The sequence below is a fragment of the Homo sapiens genome, chromosome 11 (assembly GCF_000001405.40).
Source record: "Homo sapiens chromosome 11, GRCh38.p14 Primary Assembly".
Classification (NCBI taxonomy): domain Eukaryota; kingdom Metazoa; phylum Chordata; class Mammalia; order Primates; family Hominidae; genus Homo; species Homo sapiens.
In genome coordinates, this window is record NC_000011.10 from 119,264,313 (window position 1) to 119,290,039 (window position 25,727).

The window sequence follows — 25,727 nt, forward strand, 5'->3', positions numbered from 1 at the left end:
CTCCCAAAGAGCTGGGATTACAGGTGTGAGTCCCTATGCCTGACCTCCAGTCTTTTATTATGATCTTTCTTTTCTTTTCTCTTCTCTTCTCTTCTCTTCTCTTCTCTTCTCTTCTCTTCTCTTCTCTTCTTTCTCTTCTCTTCTCTTCTCTTTTCTTCTTTTCTCTTTTCTTTTCTTTTCTTTTTTTGAGACAGGGTCTGTCTCTGTTTGCCCAGGCTGGAATGCAGCGGCATGATCTCTGCTGACTGTACCTCCACCTCCAGGGCTCAAGCCATCCTCCCACCTCAGCATCCCTAGTAGCTGAGACTAGAGGTCCATGCCACCATGCCCAGCTGATTTTTGTTTTTTTTGTAGAGACGGACTTTCACCATGTTGCCCAGGCTGGTCTCGAACTTGTGAGCTCAAGTGATCTGCCTGTCTTGGCCTCCCGTAAGTGCTGGGATTACAGGCATAAGGCACCATGCCCAACCTATAAGGAAATTTTTCGGTCCTACAGAAGAGTTGAAAGAATTTTATAACCACCATATACCAATCTGCAATTAGCTAAATTACTTTTCTTTGTTTTTCATTATTATTATTTTTTTAAGACAGTTTTGCTTCGTCGCCTAGGCTGGAGTGCCGTGGTACGATCTTTGCTCACTGCAACCTCCACTTGCCAGGTTCAAGCTATCATCCCACCTCAGCAACCCTAGTAGCTGGGACTACAGCTGTGCACCACCATACCTGGCTAATTTTTTTGCATTTTTTGTATAGATGGGGGGTCTCACTATATTGCCCAGGCTGGTCTCAAATTCCTGAGTTCAAGCAATCTGCCGGCCTCAGCCTCTCAAAGAGCTAGGATTACAAGTGTGAGCTGCTGCGCCCAGCCTAAATTACTGTTTTTAAAATGAAAGTTTTGTTTCCTTCTCTTTTTAAATACCATATAAACTTTTTTGAGTCTTTAAACCATTTTTAAGAGACTTTTGAAGTAGGTGAGATGATTTTTGATATTTCTGTGTTAATTCTTCAGAACAATAATATTCAAGTAAAATAATTCTAATAGTCTGAGGTTTGGCAAATCTGTTTTAGAATAGATAATACTAGTTTAGTAGATTACTTTTTCTAGCCCTGTATAGGGTTTATACAGTTAACTGTTCATTTAAATTCCCTAAGACATAAATTCATTTAAATTATCTGCAGACAGAAAATATACGTTAAAAAATTATTTCTGCTAAGGTGTGAGGAGCCCAGGAGTTGGAGACCAGCCTGGGCAATATAGTGAGACCCCCATCACACATAAAATAGAAAAAGTGGCTGGGCGCGGTAGCTCACACCTGTAATCCCAGCACTTTGGGAAGCCCAAGGTGGGTGGATCACCTGAGATCAGGAGTTCGAGACCAGCCTGACCAATATGGTGAAACCCTGTCTCTACTAAAAATACAAAAATTAGGCCGGGCGCAGTGGCTCACGCCTGTAATCCCAACACTTTGGGAGGTCCAGGCGGGTGGATCACCTAAGGTTGGAAGTTCGAGACCAGCCTGACCAACATGGAGAAACTCCGTCTCTACTAAAAATATAAAATTAACCGGGCGTGGTGGTGTGTGCCTGTAGTCCCAGCTACTTGGGAGGCTGAGACAGGAGAATTGCTTGAACCCGGGAGAGAGGGTGCAGTGAGCCAAGACGTGACACTGCATACCAGCCTGGGCGACAGAGCGAGACTCCATCTCAAAAAAAAAAAAAAAAAGAAAGAAAGAAAGAAAAATTAGCCAGGCATAGTGGCCTCTGGTCCAGCTATTCAGGAGGCTGAGGTGAGAGGATCGCTTGAGTCTGGGAGGTCGAGGCTGCAGTTTCCTTGTCTTAAATGTTAATAAATGCGTCTTTAATAGAAGGAGTTAATTTATCTCCTCATACTGTATTTGGTTTCCTGTTTCCTCTTTCTCTTCAAAGTACCTTATGAGCAAGAGTTACAAGATAACTTTTTCAGTATTCTATATAGTAGTGACTGTACTGGTCAAAATAGTTTCAGAGATTTTTCTGTTTACCTCATCATTCATATAAAGGCCACTTTTCACCTCCTGTCTTGCTTAAGATGGTGATTGTGATTCCTATGAAGTTGTATTTATATTTTTACTTTTGAAGCTAAAACAATAGCTATAGTTGCTCATTTAATTTTTAAGATACTTGTGTATTGGTGATATGTAAATCTTAGTTCTTTATTATGTGAAGTTGTACACAGGAAAATGCATAACATTGCTTTGGGCCTGAGGCACAAAGGTACGTTGGCTTTGAAGGTAGGCCCTGAGGTAGAGAGAAAAGAAATGACACCAGTCTTGAATTAAAAAAAAAAGATACTGCATACAGAATCAGCATTTGATTATGAGTAAGCTGTGAGAGGAAAAGAGAAGAGGAAGACGGAAGCTGTAGAGTAGAATTTGTAGTTCCGTAGATTTGGATGGTTAGAGCTGAAGGCGAAGGTTAGAGTGGAAGGCGAATGACCTCCTTCCTCAGCACTGTGTTACTGGGTTAGAGAAAAGCCAGTACTGCTCGCTGCTGCTGGAACTGAAGGAAGGAAAGTTCTGTCTTCAGGGTATTTACAAAAAGTTGAACAGTTGTGTTCCTTTGTGGATCTTTGGAGAATCGTTAGAACTCACTGTGTGAGTTAAGGTAACTGCTGACAGAATTTTTTCAAGTATTGCTTACCATGTAAACTCAAATGTCTGTATCATACCTCATTCTTTTTACATGTTAAGACAGATTCTGCTGATTAAATTCTGCCCCATATACTGTAGACACTGAACCATAAGCTTCAGATTGGTTACAAAATGCTCTGACCCATGGACTTTTGTAAATTCATTATTTCCTTTTAAGAAGTATGATGCTTACAGTGGATATCTCTGGTGGTTTTAAGAAATGTAAGCAGGCTTTTTGGAGGGATGCATTCTGGAGTAGGAAAATGTCTTAAATTGATTTCCCGTAACAGTTTCAGTCAGCACTTTGAACTGCTCTTAGGTACCTGGTGCCATTACATCTTTGTGGTCAATAACTTTTTGTTTGTGTGGCTTACTTCACAAAATAAAAATGCTTTCTGTGTCCTGTTATTTTGGTATGCATATTTTATCTTTGATCCAACATAGTGCTAGGTACCTGGTAGATTTTCGGTAGAAAATTATTTTAAGAGCCAAAGATAACCAGCATGGTCCAGTTATTCCAAGACCCACTCCCTGTATTCACTTCAGACTCAGCTTAAAAAGCAACACTCGATAAGGTCTCTGAGACTACCCTCCCTAAACAGCAATCCTGCATGGCTTCTCATACTCTGTGTTATTCTTCCTCACAGCACTTTTCTCCTACCATCTGATAACACTCTCGTGGGAATGTACATGTCATAAAAGCAAGAATTTTATTTTGTTCATTGCCATATTCACCCCGAGCCTAGCACATAGTAGGCACTCAAATGTTTTCTGAAGGTATATTGATCATTAGAAATTTTTGCCGTTCGCTTGGCCCAGAGGGATATAAATACAAGTCAGAAATAGATTTAGCCATTGTGTACACAAATAGCTATAGTCAAAATGGGTTCAGATGATGTAAGAGAACTGCAGAGAAAACACTGGGATTGTTGAGCATTTTATTATGTCTAGCTGGCTCCTAAAGAAATGACATTTAAACTGGGTCTTATTTCAGACCAGAGAAACAGGCAAAGGCCGAGAAACAAAGAAGAGAGGCAGGTGTAAGAAAAGGTGAAGTACTTGGTTTGGCTAGAACATACTAGTGAAGAACTAAGAAGTTAGTTAGAAAGATAGGTTAGATCCAGGTCAATGGAAAGCCTTAAAATCCAAGCTGAGTTTGGATTTTATCCCATTGGCTGTGAAAATTGATTGTTTATTTTTTCCCTTCTTCAAAAGGCAGTTAAATGTCATAAGAATTGGATCTGCATAGAAAGAGACACTGAAGACCAAGGCTGGAATTTTAATTTTAATTTTAATTTTAATTATCACCAAGGAGTTTGCATTAGGCCAATACCACATAAATAGAAGGTAGGAATGACCACAGATTGGCAACAAATTGACTAGTCAGATATGGAGAACAAGGTAAATGAAAGAAGCTAAGAAGATTCTTCAGGTTTTGAACTTGTGGGAAGTAAGATGGTGTTGTCATTAAATACAGAAGTAAAGTACATGAAGAAAGAGCAGATTTAAGAAAGATTAGTTTAATTCTGAACATGTTGCTTTGAGGTGCTAGCATTCGAGTGGAGGAAATGTGGTAGAGTAGATAGTTGGAAAAACTACCAAGGCCTAAGATTTGGGCATTGTTTGCTAAGTAGTTTTTAAAGCCCTGAGATTGCAAAGGAACAGGAGAGAGTACACGGAGAAAGAACTGAAAATAGCAGAGAGCAGATTCTTGGGAAATACCGCTTAAGACGATGGGGGAGAAAAGCCAAGAAAGAACAAAAGGAAGTAGGAGAACCAAGAGAAGACAACACTGCAAAACCCAAGGCAAGATCGTGTTCAGGAAGAAGTAGAATTCAAACCTGTTTGCTTCAGAAAGAGCTCTGGTATAACCTCAGAAGTGTGACACGGATTTTTTCTATCATCTCATTCATTATCCTGCTATACTGTTCAGCGTAGTTCTTCACACACATAGTAGGTTCTCAATAATCTAGTTTAGGGACTACTACTTGACAGAATGTTATGTAGATGTAGATGTCTGAGCCACAGGCTGCTGATTGTGCAGTCTAGGGTCCTGCGGAACACTGGAAAGTAAATACATTGGGATTAACTTGTGCTTTGTAGGGTTTCTTTCACGTTACCTATTTCATATTCCATTTGTGATATATTCTTGATCTTGTCTATTTTCTCTTTGGTACATGGTAGAAATTCTATTAAACAATAATCAAAGGATCTCAAGGTGCTAGGAAAAAAACAGTTAATGGACTTTAAAGATTGGATAAGTGCTTTTTTTTTTTTTTTTTTTGGACCGAGTCTCACTCTGTCGTCCAGGCTGGAGTGCAGTGGTGCAATCTCAGCTCACTGCAACCTCTGCCTCAGCCTCTTCAGTAGCTGGGATTAAAGGCATGTACCACCATGCCCGCCTAATTTTTGTATTTTTAGTAGAAATGGCCAGGCTAGTCTCAAACTCCTGACCTCAAGTGATGCATCCGCCTCGACCTCCGAAAATTTTGGGATTACAGGCGTGAACCACCGCACCCGGCCAAAAAAAGATTTCAATAGCATTTTTCGAACAAGTCATGGATATAAAGACTTGGATAATTTGGTGCTGCATTTTATCCACGAAAGACAAAGATAGCACTGATGGTGACCTTCCAGTATAGCATTAAAAAAGAAAAATCTGTTCCTAATAGAGGATTGTTAGGCAGTCAGTAATTGATCACGATTTGACTTGAAATTTTATAGTACATTTATGCCGGGCGCGGTGGCTCACGCTTGTAATCCCAGCACTTTGGGAGGCCGAGGCAGGCAGATCACGAGGTCAGGAGATCAAGACCATCCTGGCTAACACGGTGAAACCCCATCTCTGCTAAAAATAACAAAAAAATTAGCTGGGCATGGTGGCGGGCGCCTGTAGTCCCAGCTACTCGGGAGGCAGAGGCAGGAGAATGGCGTGAACCCGGGAGGCGGAGCTTGCAGTGAGCCGAGATCGCGCCACTGCACTCCAGCCCAGGCGACAGAGCGAGACTCCGTCTCAAAATAAATAAATAAATAAAGTACATTTATATGACAAGAATAAACTTTTGAATACATAAATACAAATTATTGGGTCAAAGGAAAATAGACACGTATTCAGTAGCTTGTTTAGTGTAATAGTATCTATATCATCTGTATCCTGTTTCTGTGGCAATAGCATTAAAGAGAACAAAGGTAATCTGATCAAAGGACACATGGAAAAGTAGAGACTACATCTGGTATGTTAAATGGTACTGTGTGACATCTTTTTTTTTTTTTTTTTTTTTGAGGTGGAGTTTCGCTCTGTTGCCCAGGCTGGAGTGCAGTGACACAAACTCAGCTCACTGCAACCTCTGCCTCCTGGGTTCAAGGGATTCTCCTGCCTCAGCTCTCCCAAGTAGCTGAGGTTACAGGCGCACACCACCATGGTCAGCTAATTTTTATATATATATATATATATATTTTTTTTTTTTTTTTTTTTTTTTTTTTGAGACGGAGTCTCGCTCTGTCGCCCAGGCTGGAGTGCAGTGGCGGGATCTCGGCTCACTGCAAGCTCCGCCTCCCGGGTTCACGCCATTCTCCTGCCTCAGCCTCCCAAGTAGCTGGGACTACAGGCGCCCGCCACTACGCCCGGCTAATTTTTTGTATTTTTAGTAGAGACGGGGTTTCACCGTTTTAGCCGGGATGGTCTCGATCTCCTGACCTCGTGATCCGCCCGCCTCGGCCTCCCAAAGTGCTGGGATTACAGGCGTGAGCCACCGCGCCCGGCCATTTTTATATTTTTTAGTAGAGACAGGGTTTCGCCACGTTGGCCAGGCTGGTCTTGAACTCCTGACTGCAAGTGATCGCCCACTTTGGCGTCCTATAGTGCTGGGATTACAGGCGTGAGGCACCACTCTCGGCCTGTGTGATATCTTTATAACCATATCCATTAAACAGGTTGTGAGAACAAAATTAAGTAATTGTTAACAGTAGCATATGCACTTATGTAGAAATTTTTGTGTGGTTTGGATGTTAGCATCTCATTTTTGGTAAAGGAAGAGGAGTTTGGGTAAAATTTATCTCTTTAAGGTCTGGTTCAGTGAAAGAAAGCATTTATTAGGTCTGGATACTTAAAAATTCTTTTAATTAAGACTTATTTATCTTTTATTTAGATATGTTATATGATGATAAATATACTTGATAAATACACCTGCAAAGCAGGAAATAATACATTGGTTTCCTAACATTTTTTCTTCCGTGATAGAGTGATTATAGCAGTGCATAAGTTCTTACACTTATTTGTTGAATTCTCTTACCTGTCATCCTAAAAAAGTAAATTTGTCCATGTTCATGCTTAGCTATTAAGCTTTATTAATTCAAGATTAAAAGCTTTAAGATATATGACTAAATTTTTTCTCTTGTTTACTTCATAATATCTATTTGAATGGAGGAGATACAAGTGGAGGCAGTGAATGCAACAGTATTTCTTCATTGTGTTTGTATCTTTCATATGATCTTACAGCAAAAAGTTTCTAAAACCCTTCTTTAAATAAAGAACAAGATCACTGAATATGTAACATCCTCAACAGCGCATTTCTTTTCTCTTCTCTACTTTTTTATATCCTTGAATAATACTGGCCAGAAAGAATATTTGAAGAGGTTCTTTCTAAATGTATTTTAATATTCATGTTAATTATACATCTTGTATGGTGAATTTGGTGCATTTAAAATAAAAATAATTTTATGTGTTTAATTATTGCATTCTGATCATTTGTAGGCGAAACCTAACCAAACTGTCCCTCATCTTCAGCCACATGCTGGCAGAACTAAAAGGAATCTTTCCAAGTGGACTCTTTCAGGGAGACACATTTCGGATTACTAAAGCAGATGCTGCGGAATTTTGGAGAAAAGCTTTTGGGGAAAAGTAAGTCTCAGAATAATGAATTTGAACTATGAAAAACTAAAGCTTACGAGTTTTTTCTTTACTTTTTTACTAATGAAATATTTAAAATTTGGGAACTCTGAGAAAAGTAATATATGTGTATGTATTTCCTGGCTTTGGTTAAATATTAAGTTTTTGCTCTGTTCATTGTTTTTAAAAAATAGTTTTGCAGATTAAATTGAAACCCATGCTCTTTGAATACTCTTCCCTTTCTCTCCCCATCCATTGTGGTTTCTTTTTGAGACGGAGTCTTGCTCTGTTGCCCAGGCTGGAGTGCAGTGGTGCGATCTCCACTTACTGCAAGCTCTGCCTCCTGGGTTCATGCCATTCTCCTGCCTCAGCCTCCTGAGTCGCTGGGACTATAGGTGCCTGCCACCACGCCCGGCTAATTTTTTGCATTTTTAATAGAGACAGGGTTTCACCACGTCAGCCAGGATGGTCTCGACTTCTGACCTCGTGATCCACCTGCTTCGGCATCCCAAAGTGCTGGGATTACAGGCGTGAGCCACCATGCCCAGCCCCATTCTGCTCTTAATGGACATGTACATTTCACATTATTTGCTATCAGCAGTGAGCAATATCTAAGTTGTCTTCATATGCAAGAAATTGTCTTTATTTACATACGCAGGAGTGGAATTGCTAAGTCTTGGGGTTTTACATCTTTTGCTTTGCTAAGTATTGTCCAATTTCTTTCCAAAATGGTGTACCAGTTCATATTTTACAGTAGCCCCACAGTTTGGCTAACGCTGGCGATGTGAATTGGTGTAATATTTTGCTTTATATTCCCTGATGAGAAGGGAGATTGAGCTTCTTCTCACCTTTATGACCAGTCAAGATTCTTATTCTTACTTGCCTGTTCCTATTTCTGATTTACCCATTTTCTTATTGAGTGGTTTATCTTTCTGTTATTATAGGTTACTAGTTCTTTGTTAGATACTTACATTACAAATATCTTCTCCCAGTCTGTGGCTTACCTTTTCCGTTTTGCTGTATTGTCTCTCTATATATTATATAGGTTGATTTATGCATCAAGCTTGTATTTTTAAGTATAAATATAAATATCCTAGGTTTTGTCGTTTTATTTTTTTTTTTTTTTGAGACAGGATGTCACTCTCTTGCCTAGTCTGGTGTGCAGTGGTACAATCAATCATAGCTCATCGCAGCCTCAAACTCTTGGATTCAAGCAGTTCTCCCAAGTAGCTGGGACTACACGTGTGTGCTGCCAGGCCCAGCTAATTTGCAGAGACAGGATTTTGCTGTGTTACCCAGGCTGGTCTCGAAGTCCTGGCCTCAAATAATCTTTCCCCCTGGCCTCTCAAAGTACTAGGATTACAAGCGTGAGCCACTGTGTTAGGCCCAAGTTTCTCTTTAAAGGCCTTCATTTTTGGCCAGGCACAGTGGCTCACTCCTGTAGTCCCAGCACTTTAGGTGGCCAAGGCAGGAGGATTTCTTGAGGCCAGAAGTTTGAGACTACTACCCTGGATGACATTACAAGACCTGGTCTTTATTTGTAAATTATTTTTTATTTTTCTTTTCTTGTTTTGCAGCAAGGTTTCACTCTGTTGCCCAGGCTGTAGTGCAGTGGCACGATCTCACTTGCAACCTCTGCCTCCAAAGTTCAAGTGATTTTCCCCCCTCAGCCTCCAGAGTAGCTGGAACTAATTAGTCTGGCTAATTTTGTTTGTTTGTTTGTTTTTGTAGAGACAAAGTTTCACCATATTGCCCAGTCTGGGCTCAAGCAGTCTGCCCACTTTGGCCTCTCAAAGTGCTGGGCCTCCCAAAGGCATGCACCATGGCTCCTGGTCCCCTTCTTTCTTTTCTTAAAGAAGTTGACCTGTATTTTGAATTACGAGAATTGAAATTGGTATTGAGAGCTTAATGTGGCTCTCCTTCCTTTCCTTGATTATGGCGATGCCTGGAATTATCTCTGTTATTTCACTTTATGCCTCCTCTCCACCCCCTCCCCAGGACAATAGTCCCTTGGAAGAGCTTTCGACAGGCTCTACATGAAGTGCATCCCATCAGTTCTGGGCTGGAGGCCATGGCTCTGAAATCCACTATTGATCTGACCTGCAATGATTATATTTCGGTTTTTGAATTTGACATCTTTACCCGACTCTTTCAGGTAGGACACTAAAAAAGTTGACTAAACTGGTTACTGCTACTTCGGTGAAGAGAAAGCTTTTTTTTTTTTTTTTTAAATAACATTTGGGGTTTTTGTCTGTATGAAAGTATTTTAATTCATTTTAGGAACTATGCCAAAAAAAAGATTAAAACTATCTCATATTAAAAATATATGTATGTGTGTGTATGTATATATAGTGAAAATGACAGCTATACCAACTGCTTTCTTCTCCTCACATCTTTCCTTGTTATTGAATATTCTTCTTTTGTATCATTTTAATGTTTGTAGAATGGCCAGAATATGAATATATTAGTTTTCTGATATTGGATATTTGTGTATGTTTGCAACTGTTTCTCCTGTTTTATTGAAATTGACTGTTAATATTGAGATGTTTAGATGCTTCAAAAACAACTCCTTTCTTTTTCTCTAAAAATAATGCTTTCTCTGGTGTTGTCTGTGCCAATTTGCATACACATTTATTTGGAACTTATTAGTTGCACCTATAGGCCCTATCCTGGTTTTCAGTTTGTTGTTGTTCAACCCCACTACTGTTAATTAGAGCTGCTTTACAAATTCTAGAATTTTCATTTTGTGTCAAGTTTCTCCCTATAAGCATATATTCTTTTCTTCGTAGCTTTTCAGAGTTTTTAATCTCCTGAACACATGTGTCTTCTCTCTGAGTGATGGTATAATTAAAAATTTCTGACAATGAACTGAGAGTTGGTGTTGTTTTTTTTTTTTCTCATTGCCCTCTGAGTTGGTTGTACATCTGACCTGAATAGTCTGTGATTGATCTTGTTTCTTTAGCCCTGGTCCTCTTTGCTCAGGAATTGGAACAGCCTTGCTGTAACTCATCCTGGCTACATGGCTTTTTTGACGTATGACGAAGTGAAAGCTCGGCTCCAGAAATTCATTCACAAACCTGGCAGGTCAGTTCAATGACGCAAAGAGATTTATTCTTCTGAATTTCGTTATCTTGAGACTTCTGCTAGTATAGAAGAAACATGACCTTAATTAGTTTCGCAATAGCCAAGGTTCTGCAATAGGATTGATACCTGTTTATCAGACGTATTGACTTAATTCAGATCCTATAATTTGATAAATGTTTTCAGGCCACTTAAGAATTGAATTTATGGCCGGGCACAGTGGCTCACGCCTGTCATCCCAGCACTTTGGGAGGCCGAGGCGGGCAGATCACGAGGTCAGGAGTTTGAGACCAGCCTGGCCAAAGTGGTAAAACCCTGTCTCTACTAAAAATACAAAAATTATCCAGGTGTGGTGCGGGTGCCTGTAATCCCAGCTACTCAGGAGGCTGAGGCAGGAGAATCACTTGAACCTGGGAGGTGGAGGTTGCAGTGAGCCGAGATCATGTCATTGCACTCTAGCCTGGGCAATAAGAGCGAAACCCCATCTCAAAAACAACAAAAACAAAAAAAGAATAGAGTTTATGTGTCTTTTGCTTCTGGTGTGGAGTCATGGAAGAAGTTACTCTCTTTTTAAAAATATTTTCTTTCTTTTTTCTTGTCACTGACTTGAAGCTCAGAAGTAGTTATTCTTGGCTGGGTGTGGTGGCTCACACCTGTAATCCCAGCACTTTGGGAGGCCAAGGTGGGCAGATACTTGAGATCAGAAGTTTAAGACTGGCCTGGCCAACATGGCGAAACCCCATCTCTACTAAAAATACAAAAATTAGCCAGGTGTGGTGGCACATACTGTAGTCCCAGCTACTCAGGAGGCTGAGGCAGGAGAATCATTTGAACCCAGGAGGTGGAGGCTGCAGTGAGCTGAGATTGTGCCACTGCACTCTAGCCTGGGTGACAGAGCCAGACTCCATCTTAAAAAAAGAAAGAAAGAAAGGAAGAAAGTTATTGTTATTCTTGATGGTTCTTTTGATTTTTGTCTGTATCTTGCCTTGCCTTCCACCGTAATACCAGCATAATCTACTAAAGCTTCTGTTTATGTCTGTTCATAGTTATATCTTCCGGCTGAGCTGTACTCGTCTGGGTCAGTGGGCTATTGGGTATGTTACTGCTGATGGGAACATTCTCCAGACAATCCCTCACAATAAACCTCTCTTCCAAGCACTGATTGATGGCTTCAGGGAAGGCTTGTGAGTACCTACTGCATACCATCTGTTAGAGTCTGGGAACTTAGGGGCTGTCCAACCTCATCATTAATGACTTTATTCCAGGTTTCTTAAACTGCAGACTAAGATTCAGGAAAATATTAACAGATGATATTGATTTGACCTTCAGGTCCTGGAAGACTTTTGTTTTTCTTTTTTAGGGATTCCATGAGTGAAATTATTCTCTACCACTTCAGTTATTACCATAAATAAACTTTATCTTTCTTTTTTCCAAATGTTAACTTATTTTCAAGCCTGTGTTAGGTTTTAAAATATACCAATTAGCAGGAAATTTGACCAGTTATTTAACTAGTCGGCATTCAAGTGATTCAATGTTCCTAATAGCCATAGGCCTCAGTGGCCTTCATCTGCTTTCATCCTCACTTCGCTTTTGTTCAGCAGCATTTCTTCAGGCCTTGGGCTACTGTAACCTATGCTGCTATTTATAACTAAGTCCTTATTTATTCCAGAATTGCTATTCCTTTGAGAATTCAAATTAATTATCAGTTGGTAAACACTTAAAAATACTAACAGTTGACCAGATGGCAGAAAACTAGCTTGTGTTTTGAAGTGATTAGGAAAATACATTTTATATTATACATTATCTTTTACTTACAATAGCATTGGGACTGAAAGGAGTGCTGCCCCAAATGTCAGAACAGTTTGATGCTAGAAACTGTGGATCTCCCTGGTAGATGATCTCAGTAGCTTAATTTGCATATTGTTACATTGCTTTTAAATTGGTGTCTCTCATTTTCTTAAACCTGTAAACCTTCTTTGATCAAAAGCAAATGCAGTTTAAACTAAGAAGTTAAGCCGGGTGCAGTGGTTCACACCTGTGATCCCAGCACTTTGGGAGGCCGAGACGGGTGGATCACCTGAGGTCAGGAGTTCAAGACCAGCCTGGCCAACATGGCAAAACCCTGTCTGTACTAAAAGTACAAAAAGTTAGCCGGACGTGGTGGTGGGTGCCTGTAATCCCAGCTACTTGGGAGGCTGAGGCAGGAGAATCACTTGAATCCAGGAGGCGGAGGTTTCAGTGAGCCAAGATCACTCACTGCAACCTCAAAAAAAAAATAAGAATCTGTCGCGCACACACACACACACACACACACACACACATAAAGAATTTCTATCTGGTGGCCATCCATTGATTAAAAATGGGTTGGTAAACTGTGACCCATGGGCCACCTGTTTGTTCCCCCGGGGAGCCAAGATAGCTTTTCCTAAGAGTCGTTTTGAAAAAAACAATCAGAGAAGAATATGTGACACAGACTAATGTGGCCTACAAATCCTAAATGATTTTCTATCTGGCCCTTTACAGAAAAGCTTGCTAACCAACCCCTTGATTAAAAGATAGAGCCTATGGCATTGTTACCTGGAGAAGGAATAATAGTTTTTGGAGAATATCTTTAAACTGTTCTGTGTTTTTTATTTTTTTGAAGTATTATTTTTTGGAAGTATTTTTTTTTTGAAGTAAGATTGATCTTTATACTTACACCACGTTGCCCTTTTAGAATGGAGAAACTCCCAGATTCCATTTGTCTATATTAGCAAGCACTGGCAAATTGGCTTAAATAAAACCCAGGGTTGGTTACTCTTTACAGCTATTTGTTTCCTGATGGACGAAATCAGAATCCTGATCTGACTGGCTTATGTGAACCAACTCCCCAAGACCATATCAAAGTGACCCAGGTGAGTTTTGTTTCACATGATAACCATATCACTGGACACAAGCTTTAGTATATTCTTTATAGAACTGACAGCATAATTGAATTCATTGGAACCCATTGACTAGATTAGTGAATTTGTGTGTATGTGGTTTCACTTTAAACCCTGGAGCTTAAAATAGGACCCAGACTAGATGCTTTCTGGTTTAATAAAAAATAAACCACTGTTGTGACATTTTTATATAAGCAAAATTTGTATAGGAAACAAGTCTTCACTTTTTCTGTTAACATTTATAATTGCAGTTATTTATTCAACTAATAGTCTTTTAATTTTTTTTAATCAAAGGAACAATATGAATTATACTGTGAGATGGGCTCCACATTCCAACTATGTAAAATATGTGCTGAAAATGATAAGGATGTAAAGATTGAGCCCTGTGGACACCTCATGTGCACATCCTGTCTTACATCCTGGCAGGTACGGATCTAAACAGCGACTTTTTTCAGCTATGTAATAACCTTGGAAAATTCGGTATTATATAGCCTTTACTGATACAAGGGGTGGCCTGGCTTTTGGGGTTAGGTTTAAACTTTTACTTTTTTTTGATCTCTAGGAAATGTATTTTCTAGTAGATTAATATTTTAAGTATTTTCAGATGCATCTGTTACTATCTTTTGCTTCTTCTGCAGGAATCAGAAGGTCAGGGCTGTCCTTTCTGCCGATGTGAAATTAAAGGTACTGAACCCATCGTGGTAGATCCGTTTGATCCTAGAGGGAGTGGCAGCCTGTTGAGGCAAGGAGCAGAGGGAGCTCCCTCCCCAAATTATGATGATGATGATGATGAACGAGCTGATGATACTCTCTTCATGATGAAGGAATTGGCTGGTGCCAAGGTAAGATGGCAGTTTAGGAGACTGGCAAAATCCATTGTGAGTTGTCTTCTAAAGCCGTAAAACACTTAACGATATCCAAACTACAATGATAGGTAGTATTAATAGCTAATATTTATTGAGCATTTACTATATGACAGATATTGTGTTAAGCACTTTACTTGTTTTTTACTCAATCTTTACTACAGCCCTATGAGTACATACTACTATTATCCTTATTTAACAGATGAAGAAACTGAGGCACAAAGAGGTTAAGGAATTTGCCGAAGACCACACAGCTAGTAGGTTGAAGCATCTGTGAGCTGCATCTATGACCAGGCATTCCAGCTTAAGGCCCATGTTCTTACTGTCTGTATTTTTTAGGACTAAGACTTTATTCATATCTGTTGGTGGAGAATATGAGGGAGAAATAAAAGAACTGGACCCTCTTTTGCTAATGCAACTAGAATAAGTTCTGTTCCCTTTTTTTTTTTTTATTTTAATGGAGTCTTGGCATTAGAAGGTTGGGGCTGGGCATGCCCATAGCTCATGCCTATAATCCCAGTACTTTGGGACGTTGAGGCTGGAGGATCAGTTGAGCCCAGTTTGAGGCCAGCCTTGGCAATATAGTGAGACCCTATCTCTACCCCTGACTCCAAAACAAAACAAAAAAAAGCTGGGTATGGTGTTGTGCACCTGTAGTTCTAACTACTCTGGAGGCCAAGGCTGGAGGATCAGTTGAGCCCAGCAATTCGACATAGCAAGACCGTATCTTTACCACCACTGCCCCCATGCCCCCCCCTAAAAAAAAAAATAGCTGGGCATGATGGTGTACGCCTGTAGTTCTAACTAGTCTGGAGACTGAGACGGGAGGATTGCTTGATCCCAGGAATTCAAGGCGGGAGTGAGTTGTGATTGTACCACTGCACTCTAGGTTGGGTGACAGAGCGAGACCCTGTCTCATAAATAAATAGTAATTGTATACAATGTGTAGTGTGACTTATTTCTGTAAAAAAATTTTTTTAAGCATATACGTAGAAAAACTGGATGACTACATACCAAACTAATCACTGTTATTTCTGAGGATAGGAATTCAGAGCACTTAAATTCTGTGGAATATTTGAATTTTTTACAATTAATGCATATTACTTTTTCAAAGTGTTTGTTGTGCTAGATGGTTGAGTGCTATATGGGATAAGAAGTCTAAGACAAGGCTTTCAAGGAGCTAATTGTTTTATTTAGGAAAAGGACATATGTGCAGGTGAAACACTTCAACACAAGGCAGACAGTGAACATTGTTCCAAATTGTTGGGTACACTATAAGTCGGATAGGAGTTTAGAGGAAAGAAGTAAAGGAACACACTTTCCCTAGCCATGTAGAAATGTAAACAGAAAAAAAACCAGCCTCATGTATTTTGTCATTTGGCCATTCCATAATTTATTTTGTCTTCCTTTTAATGAACATTCATATTGTTTGCAGGCTTACGTATATTGGCCTGCTTTTACAAGTCTGTCTAGGCTAGCAGTGGGATTGCTGCATAAGGGAGTGTGTATTTCAACTGTGATAGAGGGGAGGTTATAATTAACAGAGGGGCTTATGGGAATATCACAGTGATAATGGTATTTTGTTTTTTAGCTGGATGGTAGGTAAGTATATGGATGTTTTATTCCTTGTACTTTATAGTTCATTATATATTTTGTATGAGTAAAATAATTTGAGTGAAAATATTTAACTTTTGGTTAGTTATTAAAGTTTATCCCCCTTTTTTGGTCTTGAAATCACTCTTGAAGGTATGGAAAAGAATGAGAATGCCTGTTTCTTCACATCCTGGTAGATGTTGTTTGTTGTTTTATTTTGATTTTTTTTAATATACTGAATCTACTTATAGTTGGTGAATGCACATGGATTTTTTTTAAGGTTTAAAAGAATTGCTAAAAAAAACTTACAAAAACATTGGTTCCCTGCCTCTGCCCCCTCCAGCACCTCTCTGTCCCCTCGTTCAGAGTTTTAATTCTTGAAACTGTTTACTACCTCTGTGTTTCTTAACCATGTGCTTATACTGCTTTTTCTGGATTCTTGATCTCTTCACCTCAGATGTTGTGGGAGAGGGTTTAGGTCTCTTATATCTCCCTCCTCCCTACTCCATATCCTCCCACTACAGTTATTTGAATTTGGCTTAGTACTAGTGTTTACATGATTTCACTCCTTACTGTGCCAAGTAACATACTATACAATAATTACTTTTGCTTTCTTATACAACTTTCTGCTTTTCCTGGTATAATTATTTTTATTTTCTTAGTTTTCAGTTTGTACCTGTCACTACCAAATCATATCATACTCTCAAACATCCTCTCAATATAGTTTCTATGAAATAAAATCTGTTAGTATAGTAGTATGTGATACCGTGTACTGCTTTGTAGGAAATAGGAGTCATCTGTGTTCCGCTCCAGTCTGCTCCAGTTACTCCTGTGCCACACTACTTGTCACCCTGAGGTGTCCCCTCGCCATCCTCATGGGACTTCATTGCCTCTCCTCTGTTGGAGTACCTTGGTTCCCATGTTTTCCTCTTTTTTGCTTCTTTGTTTATGTCCTTAAAGTAGCTTTCTGTGAAAGGGTGAGAGATAAACTTCTTGAGATCTTTGGTATCTTAAAATGCCTTTATTCAACCCTCAAACGTGAATTGACTAGTTACAGAATTCTAGATTAATAAATATTCTGCTCTAAATTGTTAAGGCTTCACTGACTTCTAGCTTCTAATGTATTTTTGCTTTTCAGCGCTTCCTTTCCCTCTGTCACCAAAAGCCTTTTTTTTTTTTTTTTTTGAGACAGAATCTTGCTCTGTCACCCAGGCTGGAGTGCAGTGGTGCAATCTCGGCTCACTGCAACCTCTGCCTCCCGGGTTCACACCATTCTCCTGCCTCAGCCTCCTGAGTAGCTGGGACTACAGGCGCCTGCCACCACGCCTGGCTAATTTTTTTTTGTATTTTTAGTAGAAACAGGGTTTCACCATGTTAGCCAGGATGGTCTTGATCTCCTGACCTTGTGATCCGCCTGCCTCGGCCTCCCACAGTGCTGGGATTACAGGTGTGAGCCACTGCACCTGGCCCACCAGAAGCTTTTAAGATATTTTCCTCATCCTTGATTTGATGAAAATTGTAAGGGTATTTTTGGTTTGTTTGTTGTGGGTTTCCTTTCTTTCATTGAGCTAGGTATGTAATAAACCCTTTCTATTTGGATATTTATGTCCTTTAAGTCTTGAAGTCTTGGAAATGTTTGTATTTCTCTGATCACTTATTTTCCATTTATAAATTTATAAAGGTTCCACCTTTTCTGGAGCCTTATATGCTATGATAAAAGAATATTGCGGCCGGGTGCGGTGGCTCATGCGTGTAATCCCAGCACTTTGGGAGGCCGAAGCGGGCAGATCACCTGAGATCAGAAGTTCCATACCAGCCTGGCCAGTGTGGTGAAACCCTGTCTCTACTAAAAATACGAAAATTAGCCAGGCATGGTGGCGCATGCCTATAATCCCAGTTACTTGGGAGGCTGAGGCCAGAGAATGGCTTGAACCTGGGAGGCAGAGGTTGCAGCGAGCTGAGATCGCACTATTTCACTCCAGCCTGGGCAACAAGAGTGAGACTCCATCTCAAAAAAAAAAAAAAAGACTATTGCAAGGATCCATTATGATGTTGAGACATGAATGTAAAAATATGATTAGTTCAACCCTCTGTGCCTAAGGAATGAGAGAAAGATTGATGATCGGCAGAGAGGGCCTTCCAGAATGGGGAAAGGATTTAAAGAATGATACGGAAGTCGAAATAATCATTAGAATGTGCAGGAAACACTGAGGAGATGAGCCTGAATAGAGCAGCGTTGATGCTTGTTAGGGAGTTGTGGGAAATACCTTTCTTTGGTTGCAGAGACCAGATTAGAAAGACTTGTGAAAGCTGGGCAGGAGGGTGAGATTTTGTAACAGGGCAAATTGGGAGTTACTGGTGGTTTTTGAGTTGGTGAGTGTTTAAGAATGGCTAAGCTGATAGTGGTAAGCAGAAGGATGTGGTGAGATAAACTACAAGTTGGGAAGTTCACTAGGTTGTTTTAATAAATCACGGCCACCCGCGGTGGCTCACGCCTGTAATGCCAGCCCTTTGGGAGGCCAAGGCAAGGAGGATCACTTTAGCCCAGAGGTTTGAGTCCACCCTGGGCAACATGACAAGACCCCGTCTACCCGTGCCTTCCCCGCGCCCCAAAAAAAAAAAAGCCACATGTGGTGGCGCACAGCTTGTCCCAGCTACTTGAGAGGCTGAGGCAGGAGGATGGCTTGAGCCCAGGAGGTCAAGGCTGCAGTGCACCATGTTTGTGCCACTGCAGTCCAGCCTGGGCTACAGAGCAAGACCCTGTCTCCCATAAATAAGTAAGGTCTGGGGTTGGTAAGTAGAATGAAATGAAATATACAGGTATGAGAATCTTTTAGGGAAAAATCAGCAGGATATAGCTACTGACAAAATAATTATGATGAAGTGAGAGGAGGCTTGACTAGTAACTTTGACTTTTGTCATTGAGCTGTTTAGCTGCTCATGCTGCATTGTCAGCTAATTGGGAACCCGTTATCTTAAGCATGTGGATAAAGCAAAGAGTTAAAGATGAGAGCTTTTCTGTCATCCACCACCCAGCACTAATAACATGACTAAATATGGCTGTTTTTCTGTCAGTGTTGCTTTGCTGTTGGGGAATTTAAATGCAGAGTAGCATTTTTTTTTTAATGAATTACTGTGTATCTCTTGACAGCTTACTTTGACAAGCTTATCAGCTATTCCTAAGCCTGCTATAGGCAGGGAAATGGAAAAGGTTATATATGTGTTCTTTCTTCTAATTTGGTACCTCATTTTTTAGAGCTCAAATTGACAGAAAATATTAATCCTTTTTAATTCTTTCTTTTTTTTTTTTTTTTTTTTTTTTTTTTTTGAGATGGAGTCTTGCTCTTTTGCCCAGGCTGGAGTGCAGTGGCGCTATCTCGGCTCACTGCAAGCTCCGCCTCCCGGGTTCATGCCATTCTCCTGCCTCAGCCTCCTGAATAGCTGGGACTACAGGCGCCCGCCACCACACCTGGCTAATTTTTTGTATTTTTAGTAGAGACGGGGTTTCACCGTGTTAGCCAAGATGGTCTCGATCTCCTGACCTCGTGATCCACCCGCCTCAGCCTCCCAAAGTGCTGCGATTACAGGCGTGAGCCACCACGCCTGGCCTTAATTATTGAATTGAAATAATTTATTTCTTTGGAAGGACTCAAGATGCTTTTTAGTGATATTCTTGATCATTTTTCTTTACAAATTCACCTTAAAAAAATTTTTAGTTAAAATTTTTTAGAGGGATCTCACTATGTTGACAAGGCTGGTCTTGAACTCCTGGCCTCAAGCAATCCTCCTGCCTCCCCAAATGCAGGATTACAGGTGTGAGCCACTGTACCGACTCTCATCTTCTTTCTTACCTTAATAACCCATAGAGAATTCACCGTCATCGATCTCTTTCTTTATTATGTCCCTTAAACATTGTTTTCCCAGGTACTTTGTTAAGAGGTTAATATCTGCACCCCCCGCCCCACTGCCATCCTTTTTTTTTATTTTATTTTTGTCGAGACAGGCTCTTGCTCTGTTGCCCAGGCTGGAGTACAGTGGCTAGATTATGGTTCACTGCAGTCTCAAACTCCTAGGCTCAAGCAGTCTTCCTGTTTTAGCCTCCCAAATAGCTGTGTGCCACCATGGCCCAGCTAATTTTTTATTTTATTTTTTGTAGAGATGGGGTCTCATTATGTTGCCCATACTGGTCTCGAACTCCTGCCTCCCAAAATGTTAGTATTACAGGTGTGGGCCACTGTGCATGGCCTGCCCCTTACTTTTTATATGGATTCCTATTTTTAATCTTGAAAAGATTTTTTTCTTTCTCCAAAGATGAGGGGGTAGAAAACTGTTGTAATTTTTAAAGTTGTAAACTAGGAAACTTTTTGTAGCCCTGTCCTTTCTAGATAGATTACCTGTAGCTTGCCATGGGTATGGTGTTTCTGTGATTGAGAGTGCCCTCTTATGGTGACACAAAAATTATTCAGGAAGTGCTAGAGTCTCTGGAAGTTTTTTAAGAGGGTGTGTGCGACCTCAAACCTAGGTCTGGCCCATTTGTAGTTTAAGTGTTCCCATGGTATTTGCCATCCACAGCTTTAGGAGAGTTGAAAGATGCCATTTCCCCAAACGAAAGTAATCTGTTAAATTTTTTATGTACCCTAGGTGGAACGGCCGCCTTCTCCATTCTCCATGGCCCCACAAGCTTCCCTTCCCCCGGTGCCACCACGACTTGACCTTCTGCCGCAGCGAGTATGTGTTCCCTCAAGTGCTTCTGCTCTTGGAACTGCTTCTAAGGTAAAGCATTTTCCATTACTGCAGTTTTTGGATTCTTTGCTGTGTACTAGTGGGTTTTTACTGATTTGCTTTCACCCTGCTTCCACAGGCTGCTTCTGGCTCCCTTCATAAAGACAAACCATTGCCAGTACCTCCCACACTTCGAGATCTTCCACCACCACCGCCTCCAGACCGGCCATATTCTGTTGGAGCAGAATCCCGACCTCAAAGACGCCCCTTGCCTTGTACACCAGGCGACTGTCCCTCCAGAGACAAACTGCCCCCTGTCCCCTCTAGCCGCCTTGGAGACTCATGGCTGCCCCGGCCAATCCCCAAAGTACCAGTATCTGCCCCAAGTTCCAGTGATCCCTGGACAGGAAGAGAATTAACCAACCGGCACTCACTTCCATTTTCATTGCCCTCACAAATGGAGCCCAGACCAGATGTGCCTAGGCTCGGAAGCACGTTCAGTCTGGATACCTCCATGGTGAGTCTTAATTTTGAAACTATCTAACCTGTTAAGAAATATGTGTGGGCCAGGCACAGTGGCTCATGTCTGTAATCCCAGCAATTTGGGAGGCCAAGGTGGGTGGATCGCTTGAGCCGAGGATTTCGAGACCAGCCTGGGGGACGTAGTGAAACCCTGTCTCTACAAAAATTACAAAAATTAGCTGGGCGTGGTGGCACTTGCCTGTAATTCCAGCTACTCGGGAGGCTGAGGTGGGAATATTGCTTGGGCCCAGGAGGCCAAGCTTTCAGTGAGCCATGATGGCGCCACTGCACTCCAGCCTAGGCAATAGAGTAAGACCCTGTCTTGAAAAAAAAGAAGAAAGAAAAAGAAATATGTGTGGATAGAAGTTTATGGGTTGAAATTTTGTGATAAGTTTTATATGGAATTCAGAGATGCTATAACATAATTCCTACCCTCAAGAAATATGGCTGGGCGTGGTGGCTCACACCTGCAATCACAGCACTTTAGGAGGCCGAGGCGGGTGGATCACCTGAGGTCAGGAGTTTGAGACCACCCTGGCTAACATGATGAAACCCCGTCTCTACTAAAAATACAAAAAATTAACTGGGCCTGGTGGTGGGTGTCTGTAATTCCAGCTACTCAGGAGGCTGAGGCAGGAGATTCATTTGAACCTGGAGGCAGAGGTTGCAGTGAGCTGAGATCAGGTGATTGCACTCCAGCCTGGGCAACAAGAGTGAAACTTTGTCTCAAAAAAAAAATGTGTATATTCACAGACCAGATGAGGCAGTTTGTAAATATTGCAGTAAATGTCCTTTCATAAATGCCATTTGTAATCTAACTAGAAAACACTTAAGTTTTAGAGAAATAAGAGGTTATTCCCAGATAGGGCAATCATGAGAACTTTATAGAAGGAGTGGCATCTGAGATCTGAAGTATTTCTTTGGAAAGTGGATACGGTTTTCAGATTGATAACAGCCACAATGACAGAAATGCCTAAGGTGTATTGTGGAATGATGATTAGGTTATTTTAAGTAGAGCAGAAATTTTGTCAGTAGGAGAAAGAACTGGAAAGGAACATCACACTAGATTAGAGAGAGTTGAATACCCTCTCCCAAAAGAATTTTAATTTGTATGGTAGGAAATGAAGAGCATTTGAAGGGGGTAGGTTATTGGTCCTTTGTCTAAATATGCAAGAAAGGGTCCAGAACTGAGAGGTGGGAGAGGAATATTTGATGTTTTGTTCATTTATGCACTTAACAAAAAGTCTTGCCCTCACAAAGTTTATATTCTAATGGGAGGAAGATGGAATATAAACATGTTAATTGAATAACATAGTATGTTCACAGTCACAAGTGCTATGGAGAAAAATAGCCCAAAGAAGGGTATAGAGAAAGCTGGCATAGGAGTGGGAGGTATGTGAAGTTATAGAGTACAATTCTGAGCAGAAACCTGTAGCAGTAGGAGGATGTGCCATGCTGATCCCAGGGGAGATTATTCCAGGATGAAGGAAAAAGCAAGTGAGTTTGGGAGAGACTGAAGAATAACAAAGGGGTTTAATATAGCCAGTACTAAATGAGCAAGAGAGAGAATCATTGTTTATGAGCAGAGTGGGCAGCCAGATGATTAGGTCGAAGCCTTTCGAGAGCATGAAATAAAGACTTGTTAAGGCTTGAAAAGCAGTCAGTGGGTGGAAAAAAAGGTAAGTACCACACGTGCACTGCATGCGCGTAAAAACGAAACTTTTACCTGGCTGACTGTTGCATTTGAAATGAGCAGTTGATGGAAGCATCAGCAAGTAGGCAGTCAGAAATCCAAGGAGGCAGAATGGGAAGAGTGAAGTTGAGAAGTGTTGTGGCACTAAGTGAATGGCATCTCTTGGTTGCAGAGAAAGGGTAATGCTCAAGTGGTACCTGTGGGGTGGATAGCCTAATTAGTGAGTGTGGATTAGGTTTGACTTTCTGGCAGCATCAGTATAGAATGACCATTTTGCGTTTGGATATAGATTATTTAAGATACTAATGGTATTTGTGTAGATAGCCAATTTACTCAAATCTTTTTAGAATTAAACCAAAAAGTTCATTTCCCTGGCTCTTTCTAGATCTCCACCTCTCTAAACTTTACATTTGAAGGTTCTTCGGAGCCTTAAGGCCCCTAAGCGTTTGGTCAGATGTGATAACCCCTGGGCATGGCATTGAGAGTTAGGTTTGTATCTGTTATTGTTATTTTGAAAAGGTTCAATAAGAGCAGAGGCTCAGCTGTGGTAAGAAAGTTGTTTTTCAACACTTTTCTTTACTTTCCAGAGTATGAATAGCAGCCCATTAGTAGGTCCAGAGTGTGACCACCCCAAAATCAAACCTTCCTCATCTGCCAATGCCATTTATTCTCTGGCTGCCAGGTAAGTCTGCTAAAGCTATATTTTGTACAGTGGAGTTGTTACTTGTAAAAAGCTTACTTGCAGAAAATTGAGAAAACCCAGAAAAGTGTAAAAAAGAAAATAAAAATCTCTGCACCATGTAGAAATGATTATATTTTATGTTTTAGAGTATTTCCTTCTTTTCCTTTTTCTGCATATGTGTACCTAGATCTGTTTTGCTGGGGCCTGTCAATTTTATTAATATTTTCAAGGAAGTAATTTTGGATATCTGCCATCTGTTTCATTGCTCTGCGCTCTTTATTCTTCCAGCTTTCTTTAAGTTTAATTTGCTGTTTTCCTAGCTTCATGAAATGGACGCTGTGTTGATCTGCTCAGGCTGCCATGACAAAATACCACATATTGGGTGGTTTAAATAGCAGAAATTTATTTTCCCTGAGTTCTGGAGGCTGGAAGTCTGAGATCAGGGTGCCTGCATGGTGGCTTTCCGGTGAGGGCTCTCTTCCTGCATCTCACTATGTCCTTACATGGCCATCCTCAGTGTTTGCACAGACAGAGAGAGAGAGAGAGAGCACGCACAAGCTCTCTGGGGTCTCTTCCTATAAGGACACCAATGCTACTGGGTCCTCCTATTCTTATGACTTCATTCAACCTTAATTACATCCTTAGAGGCCCCATCTCCAAATACAGCCACCCCTCAGTATATATGCATGCAGGGGATTAGTTCCAAGACCCCAGCATATACCAGAACGCACATGGTCGGGTCCCACCCTTGGCCCTGTGGAACCACATATATGAAAAGTTGGCCCTCCCTGTATGTGGGCTCTAATGAATACTGTATTTTTGAGCCAAACTTGGTTGCAGTCAGGGAACCCAAGGATACAGAAGCCTGACTGTGTTTATTGATGAAAATCTATGCGCACACTGAGAATAAGGGCTTCAACAGATGATTTTAGGGGGAACACAAACAGATGTTTTACGGTATTCCACCCATTTTGATATGTCATATTTTCATTAAGTTCAAAATACATACTTTTTCTATGTGTAATTTCTTCTTTAATTTATGAGTTACTCATATGTTGCCTGATTTTCATACATTTGAAAATTTTCTAGTTATCCTTCTGTTACTGCTGGCTTTATTCCAATGTGGTCAGAAACCATACTGTCAGCTAGTTTATGGTAAAATTTGGTAATTTGTATCACCCTCAGTTCCTAAGAATGTGTATTTTGCAGTTTTTGGGTTGTAGCATTCTATATAAGTTAATGAGGTCAAGTTTGTTAATTGTGTTAAATCTTGTATCTCCCTAGAATCTTTTTTAAAATTTCTCTGCTATTGGATAACTGAGAGGAGAATGTTAAATTCTCCACCTATGACTGTGGTTTTTTTCTTTTCCTTTTAGTTATATTTATTTGTGTTATCTGTATATTTAGCCTATGTAATTGGGGTACATAGAAATTTAGAATTTTTGATACTAAGTAAGTTTTTATTATAACCAAATACCTCTTTTACTCTGTAGTTCTATTTCTTGCCTGCCTTAAGTCTGCTTTGCCATATATGAAAGTGGCTACATCACCTGTCTTTTAGTATTTGCATAACCTCTGTATTATACCATTTCACTCCTCTATTTTTTTTTTTTTTTGTAATATGGAACGCTTGATGAATTTGTGTGTCATCCTTGCATAGAGGCCATGATAATCATGGTAATCATCTCTGTATCGTTCCAGTTGTAGTGTATGAGCTGCTGAAGTGAGCACAACTCCTTCTATTCTTTAATAGTTATCAAGAGATTCCATCATGCACTCTTGACTTACTAGAGTTTGTTTCATTTATTTATTTAAAGATAGGGTCTTGATCTGTTGCCCAGGTTGGAGTGCAAAGGCTCAATCATAGCTCACTGCAGCCTCAACATACTGGGCTCAAGAGATCCTCCCGCCTCAGTCTCCTGAGTAACTGGGGCTCCAGGCATTCGCCACCATGCCTGGCTAGGTTTTTAATTTTTTATTTTTAATAGAGACAAGGTCTAGCTGTGTTGACCAGGCTGGTCTTGAACTACTGGTGTCAAGAGATCCTCCTGTCTCAGCTTCCTGAAATGCTGGGAAATACAGATGTTAGCCAT

General features: G+C 40.6%; 1 protein-coding gene and 1 pseudogene across 1 annotated transcript in view; one reads left to right on the forward strand and one right to left on the reverse strand.

The window, feature by feature from the left end:
* The window catches only part of CBL (Cbl proto-oncogene), a 101,811-nt gene that overhangs the window by 57,974 nt on the left and 18,110 nt on the right, over positions 1–25,727 (forward strand). Inside the window, exons 3-12 of the mRNA NM_005188.4 lie at positions 7,423–7,569; positions 9,556–9,712; positions 10,520–10,641; positions 11,685–11,822; positions 13,445–13,532; positions 13,854–13,985; positions 14,198–14,401; positions 20,657–20,788; positions 20,877–21,254; positions 23,540–23,634. Of these exons, the coding sequence (NP_005179.2) occupies positions 7,423–7,569; positions 9,556–9,712; positions 10,520–10,641; positions 11,685–11,822; positions 13,445–13,532; positions 13,854–13,985; positions 14,198–14,401; positions 20,657–20,788; positions 20,877–21,254; positions 23,540–23,634 (1,593 nt within the window). The remainder of the gene's footprint in view (positions 1–7,422; positions 7,570–9,555; positions 9,713–10,519; positions 10,642–11,684; positions 11,823–13,444; positions 13,533–13,853; positions 13,986–14,197; positions 14,402–20,656; positions 20,789–20,876; positions 21,255–23,539; positions 23,635–25,727) is intronic.
* RNU6-262P (RNA, U6 small nuclear 262, pseudogene) lies at positions 25,250–25,365 on the reverse strand (annotated as a pseudogene).